Raw genomic sequence first — 8,192 nt, forward strand, 5'->3', positions numbered from 1 at the left:
TTCTTAAATATTACCCCTAGGTCCTGAGATTTATCCATCTTTGACTCCAGAGATATTTATCTGCTTTCTTGAAGATCTAGAATTTCTCCAGTGTAGGAGTGACTTTCTTTCCTGACATTGGGTTTTAATAGTAGGTAAATCAGTTGGAAGAAGTTTGGTTGTCATTGTTGTCCTGTTAGAAAAAGATTCTCATTTGAAAGTAATGCATCTTAACTAGATATGACTGCAGTGAGAATTTTAATGATCCTATCATCATATTTTTATAAGATTAGAAAACTCCTGCTTCAGTGACACTGAATATTCAAATGCTGCCCTCTCACTGAGGCTCTCTGTGGCCTCTAACCTTATCATTAGTGATTCTGCACAGATTCACAGAGTAAGCAGTTGACCCAACAGTGATTGCAAAACATTTGGAAAATGTCTGGGAAAGTAGCCATCATTTGTTTCCTATGAAATAGTCATTTTCAATGTGAATGATGCAAAATATTAAGACAAAAGGAAAATGATTATATGAGCTACATAGAACATGTGGGAATTGGTACAGAATTTTATCATGTTTAAGAAATCTTTGACCTTAACAATTTGGAATATGGGAAAATCTAGGTTGCTCTAAAAATAAAATAGCTATGTGATATATGAGTTATCAACCACGGAGTCTCAAACAAGAAAGGAGTGGACTCAAGAGATACATAGAGGGTAAAGTCAAACATATTGGTTATAGATTAGATATGGGAAATGGTGAAGGAAAAGAAGGGGGCAAAATGAGTCCTAAATTTTTGACTTGCCCAACTGGATGGAAAAGTGAACTTGCTCTGAGATATGTGCATTGGAAGAGGATTAGGTTTAAAGGGAATGATCATGAGCTGAGCATTGAACTGGCTGAGTGTAAAATCATTTGAAAGAATTCAAGTGCAGAAGTTGACGCAGCACTTCCATATACGGGTCACAAGTTCTGAGGAGAAATATGAGCTAGAATTATAAATGTGAGTCATGAATAGAAGTGAAAATGAGCCATAAGAGAAGTGGGACAGTGTTCAAGTCAGAAGCAATACTGAGAAGTTCCCTAAGACAAGAGACCGCATCCTTGAATTAAGAAACTGAGAGATCTTCAGACAGGCTGGAGCAGAGTGCCTGGGCAACATGATGAGTGATGAAGAAGAAAGGGAGATTGGGGCCAGATCACGCCAGGCCCTGGAGTCTTGAAGATTTCTGAGTTTAGCCAAACAGTGATAAGAATATTGACATGGAGAGGTGATACAATCAGAGTTACTTTCAAATTATTATCAAGGCGATTTATTGCATAAAGGACTAAAGATGCCATTTGTTGTCTTCTTAAGGAAGAATCTATGTGGGCACTTAGGCACATAATTCTCTAGAACCTTCTTCTTTTGGCTCCTGAGACATAACTTCTCCATTTATGCAGTTCCACTGCCACTGTCCACAATACTATCCACACTGAAAGGAGATGGGAAAACCTTTCCTACTAATGTTGTCCTGTTTTTAGATTACAAAATCACTATCTCTGCCTTTGGGTTCAGAAAGAAGTTCCATGAGATAGAAGAACATTTTCATTTCATATAGCAGCACTTTCAAGGTATTTTCTGGTTTACCTTGGAAGCCTGGGACTTTACTCTTCAGAGTAAATCTTTAAAGGTATAATTTCAAAATAATATATGAACATCTTATTCACAATCTCCTTGAAGTTAAGTAAATGAATAAAATGGGTTTTAATTATTTCGTTATGAAAATCCAGTTTTCCCCATTCACTTAAAAATTAGTTTTATTAAACCCAAATATCTGAGAATTTAAAAAAGAATAATGAAAATGTTCTTCCATTTATTGAACACGTATTATATATCATATATGGTACTAAGTTCCTTTATTTATGTTTATCAAGTCCTACTGTGTGTCAGCCATTAACTCAAATAGGTAGAGTTGCCCCAACCTCTAGTGGACAATTTCCTCAGCCAAATGTCAGATAGGTATAGTCATTTACCATGCAAGAGTCTAGAACATAGACCAACTGAAACTTAATCTATAACTTCCATCCGCAATGTTTCAGCATCATTAATGACACATTCCTCTTCTAGTCTTTCCAGATACTATTATAAAAGTGTTTGAAATATACTCTTCCACATACCTGTTTCTATCAGTGCTTTTCCATTTCATCAAGTCCATTTTTGATCATCTGGGAATGAAATCTGGTTGCTTGAACCAGGGGAACAATTCTTTACAGGAACACTCAATCATTTATCCTAATAGGGATTTGATTTTACCTGAAATACAAAGAAACATTGCAAGAAAGGGAACAACATAAGGATTGGGAGGAATTCCTAATATATTATAAGTTTTCATTCTCAACATATATCATTCTCAATAAGTCATTCATTTTTTTTTCATTTAACTAAAATGTAAGGAAATGCCTACTCTGCTTGGTGCACTCTAGCTCCTGAGCAGTCTAACTACCTGATGCAGAATTGATGCACAAATGGTAAACCCGGTGTGCATACCATAATAGTTAAGAGTTCTGATTTTCGAGCCAGAATGCCTGGGCATGAATTCTGACTCCAACATTTATGAGCCACATAACTTTGGACAAAATACTTAGCTGTGCCTCAGTTTCTCTCCATATATAAAATGGGGAAATATAGGGTTGTCATGAATAGCATGAATGTTATGATTAGTAAGTGACTTAATATTTACAAAATGCTTAAAAGAGTGATTGGCACAATGTAAGGGCTTGTTAAATTTAAAAAAATAATTTTTATCTGTTTCAAATAACCACAGATTTTCAAAGGCATTATTAATGGTTCTTGAAATAGAACATTTCCATCACCTGAGGGCCCGCCCTCCTCACTCATCACCCTTATAGAGCTGTAACCATAGTTTAAAAAGCTATGAGAAGGCTCTGTAATCTCAACAAGATTAGAAAGCACCATTCCTGGACTCCAAGAAAAATTTCAGATGAAATGTAGCCAATCTGGATTCGAAATGGCACTTAGATTCACTAACTTGAATGTTTTCTCAAATTTGGGATCATGGAGATGTCTATGTGTTCCTGTGTTTTATATCTGTAACAGTTTACTCTATGGCTTTAGAGTTCCCTTTAAAATGAAAGTAAAATCATTCTGATGGTATATAGTATCATACCCATCTACTTTTCTTTATTTATGTGTCACAATTACATAAATGTACACACAACCTTCTCTGCCAACAGCATTTGTACAGCGTGCAGAAATCTTGAAAACAGCTTTTCTGCCAGGGTTACCACAATGTCCTATTTATTTTCCACTCAGGCCTGGGAAAGTCTACAAAGGAACACACTAGAAATTTGTGCCAAAACAGCTTAACTTGATTTAAGTCAGCCTCCTTTTCATGATCATTTTTAAAGACTAAATGTCAGTTCCTCCTCAACCTACTAAAGCGAACTACCTTTTTGTGAAGGACCATGGTCTTCAGGTGAAAATAGTCTATGGTAGGCAGTTCATGTTTGAGGTAATTTTTGAAGTAAAATGTCCCTAAAGAGGACTAAATTTACTGCAGAAGAATTGTAGAATTGTCATATGAAGGGAGATTTCAATACACAAGAAACAATATTTTCTTGTTCCACAACGATGAAGTAATTTGCCAAGTTCAAAAATGAAATTATTTAGAAAGAGTTTAGAAATATTTTCTGACCATCCATTGTCAAGGACTTCAGCAAAATTCTCAGGAATAACATTTTTTTTCCTATTCATGGAACCTTAAGTAATTTTAGGAATCTTTGAGGAACTCCTTCTACCTCAAATTTAAACATTTAAGAAGTAACATGTCTATTTTAAATGTAATATCAAATATGTTCCAAACTCATTCACTTGATCAGTTTAGTCTAGAAGTATTCACAGTATTCACTTGGGTTTTTAAATTTGCTTTACTTTTATGGTTTATGTCTTATCACTGTTCTAGTCTCTAACTACCTTTCAAACATTTTTTAATTTACAAAACTAAGGCCAAGTCTATACCAGCAAATTGAAGTTGAAAAGTAAGGCCCTTTGGGGGATAATTTCAAAGGAAAAATATTTTTCTAGTTACTAGCTTTTATGTATTACAGATAAATACTCTCTGATTTTCTAAGTTCTCAACTTTATGTTCAAGTTTTGACCCAGACTTCACTAGGGAGACCTGCCCTAAATCCTAGTATAATATGACAAGCTCTGTCTCACTTAAAATTCTTTATGCTAACTAAGATTCTCTTGTATTTTCAGTAGATGTGTTTCAAGTCTAATTATAACTGCAATATTTACACAAAGGTATTTTCATATGGCCCTGACTTTTTTTCAGGAAATTTATTGAAAACAAAACAAAACAAAACCTGCCAGCTTAATAAATCACCATAGGTTAAAAATGTAATAACAATACAAAAATGTGAATATACAAAATCATTCTAAGCATGTCCTAAAAAATTAGATAATGATTACTTTTTAAAATGTTTAAGTTAGATATATCTCAAGATAACTAGCTTATCTAGTTTATTCCACCTCCTTTTCACTTTTAAATTTATATTCCCTTTATATGCCTTTGAAAAATGAGAATAAAGATGCATGTTTATTTTAACCTTTAAATTATAAACCAAAATTCTATCATTTTGCCTTTACTTCAGTGAATTCTGGCTTCCAAGTGAAAAAGAAAAAATGGTCCCTGAAATTTTGAATTTGGCCTGGCATTTGCAGCTAAGCCTTGCCTTTTTCCTGTTGTACGTAAACAGTATCAAAAATACCAACATCCTGTAAGATACACTGTGTCTATAGTGAATAAATACAAAAACAAGACCACTCCTTGGTCTTGTCTGAACACAGAAAAAAAGACATGAATAGTTTCAAACCTCAAAAGTGACCAAGTATCCCCCTATCTGTACCACATGAGTGGATACTGCTTCTTCGCCAGTTATACCCTTGTCCTCTCTAGTCTTCCCTGCACTAGATCAAACTTACTAAGATGCTTAACTATAGGATTATACCAACTTTCTGACATTATTCATCCAATTCAAAGCAAAGTCCTGCCTCCAAGAACTCTTCTCCAAGTCACCTAACACAAGCCCAAATACTCTGGTAATGTCTAACACCTTCTTTTTTTTTTTTTTTTTTTTTTTTGAGACGGAGTCTCGCTCTGTCGCCCAGGCTGGAGTGCAGTGGCGGGATCTCGGCTCACTGCAAGCTCCGCCTCCCGGGTTCACGCCATTCTCCTGCCTCAGCCTCCCAAGTAGCTGGGACTACAGGCGCCCGCCACTACGCCCGGCTAATTTTTTTTTTTTGTATTTTTAGTAGAGACGGGGTTTCACCGTTTTTAGCCGGGATGGTCTCGATCTCCTGACCTCGTGATCCGCCCGCCTCGGCCTCCCAAAGTGCTGGGATTACAGGCGTGAGCCACCGCGCCCGGCCGTCTAACACCTTCTTGCTGAGAGGCCCACCATTTCCTTAGTGTATGCTCTTCCTCACTGCAACAAGTCAAAAAACAGCCTATGCAACTCCAGTGGTGTACCTGGTGGCCTTAGGCTGGAGGGCATTAACACAAGCAAGACCTTAGCTCCAGAATATGTTTTAAAACAGCTTCACTTTAGGCAGAAATAACTTTCAGCAGTTACACTGTGTGGAAAAAGTCCAAATCCCTTGTTGGAATCCTTCTAATCAATTCATGATAGTTTAATGAAAAACTTGTATTTCTTATAACTCTTTATGAAAAAGAGAACCAGGACCTCATACTAGCTAGGCCTTTTTACCCTTGTTTAGATCTCTGTGAGAAATGCCCCACAGATACATGGGCAAAGATGAGGTGAACCTACAAGGACTATTTGAAAGTCCGAAAGAGTGCCTCCAACCATCTTCAGGAGAGGAGGGATTGACCTGGTTGTCCAAGCGTCCATGGTCCTAATGTAGACGTTTGTGTAGCAGGGTGGGGCAGGAGGATTTCATTTTTCCTAACTTTGGTACATGGTAAAAATTATCTTCCCCCCTCCCTCCCTCCCTCCCTCCTTCCCTCTCTTCCTTTTTTTGTTTCTTCCTCCATCTTTTATCTTTATCTGTCTCCCTTCCTCTCTCCTTCTCCAACTTCCTTCCCCTTTCCGCTTTCCTTTATAATATGCCTTTACAGTCCAGGGAATGAATGCTATGAAACACTGTCAATTTTTGTCTTAAAAAATGCCCATTTCTGCATGCCTGTAGTCCCAGCTCTCTGGGAGGCTGAGGCAGGAGAATGGCTTGTACCCGGGAGGCAGAGGTTGCAGTGAGCTGAGATCGCGCCATTGCACACCAGCCTGGGCAATAGAGCAAGACTCCGTCTCAAAAAAAAAAAAAAAAAGAAAGAAAAAAAAAGCCCATTTTATAAAATCCATATACAAATAACGTACAAAAAGTCAAAAAATATACAAATGTGATTGGTAGCAGAGTAGCTGAATGATTTCTCATCATTTAAAAAATGTATGTTGAAATACTTTCAATTATTTGGTTTTATAACTTCTAATAAAAAAAATACCGGTTTACTAAAACTAGCCTCTCCTTTAGGCTCTTCCGTTTCTTGAACAAACACACCTCTTTCAATTTACACTTTAGAGTGGTGTAAATTGTTTTAATATGCATATGGAGGTAATAGGATTCAAAGTCAAAGAAAAGTGAAGCTGTTCTGTTTCTTCTTTGCAGCCTGGGCTGCTGCATCTTCTTTAAGAACACCTCACCAATGCACTTTAGATAAGAGTGTTGAGTCCATTAGCAAGGCACAGAGCAGATTCTCCCTGTGTCTTTTCACAGGGCTCAGATTTCATTCTGTGCCAGGAGTTATACATCACTCTCAATGGTGTGTCTCCAGAGCTGACTGAGGAAAGTGCAGAAAAACTACCGTTAACAAGGGAGTAATTACATTCAGCCTAAATTAATTATTGGCCGCTCAGGACTGGTGAACAAGGGCCACACAGATGGCCTCTGACTCAGTTCCCACCTTTGAGGAAAGAAATATTCCAATATGGTGCACATGACTGCATAAGATAACAAGAGGCAGGCTATTTCTGGTCTACTGGTCTTGAAGTTACCATATCTGTTAATATGACATGGGGCTTATTTGCGTTAACACTGTAGGTACATTGTATTTTTTAGGGAAAAAAATGAATGATAGTCACTTGGGACGGAGGTCATTTCACGGCAGTCAGCATTAGGACCAGCAAAGTCAAGCCAGGGACCTTTAAAATGCAATTCAGTCGAAAGAACAGGTCATGGATCAGTGAACAGGTGATGGAAGGTGTTCGTGAGGAATTCAGATTAGCAAAAAATACAAACAAACCACAAGAATCAGGGAAGAGAGAAATCAGGACAACCTGGAGAGCAGGAAGCCAAGGTCTTGGCAGGGTGGCAAGGATGACACTGATAGGACCTGGAGACTATGCGCCATGCAGGCAAGAACTATGATTCTCATTTACTCTGTGTCCTCAGAAGCCAGCACAGTTGGCACACACCACATGTCGGTAAACTTTTGTTGAATTAATCAGTCAATTTCATCTATTAATCATTTATGAAATATCATGCTCTTGCTAGAGATCTACATAGAATTAGTTCAACTTAATAAATATTTTAGAGTTCCTACTCTGTACTAGGCACTGTGATAGATACTAGAAAATAGTATATAAGGCAGGCTCCTGTCCTCAAGGTATTTGCAATATAGTGTCTGAGGCTGAATGTAAAAAGTAATTATTAGTCATTATGATAACAGTAATAATAGAAGTATGGAGATGATAAGTGGCTGAACAAAAAAACTACCTATTGGTGCTGTCAGGGAGGAGCTGCCCAGAAGCTGTTTTAAAGTATATACAGGTAGGAGTTGATTGGATGGAAAGTGGGGGAAAAGCACAGTAGGAAAAAGAAATATTATATATACAGGCAGAGGGACCCAAACAACATAGCAAGCTCATGGAAGAAACAGCTCAATGTTGCTGGAGAGCAAGCAATCTGCAAAAAAATCAAGAAAGTAATCTGATTTACAATAGCTACAAATAAAATAAAATACCTAGGATTTCACTTCTTATCCAAAAAAAGTGAAAGATCTCTACAATTAAAACTATAAAATCCATCAACGGATAAATGGATAAAGAAAATGTGGTACTTACAGACAATGGAGTACTATTCAGTCATAAAAAAAGAATGAGATGCTGTCATTTGCAACAACCTGGATAG

The sequence above is a fragment of the Homo sapiens genome, chromosome 6 (assembly GCF_000001405.40).
Source record: "Homo sapiens chromosome 6, GRCh38.p14 Primary Assembly".
In the NCBI taxonomy this organism is placed as follows: domain Eukaryota; kingdom Metazoa; phylum Chordata; class Mammalia; order Primates; family Hominidae; genus Homo; species Homo sapiens.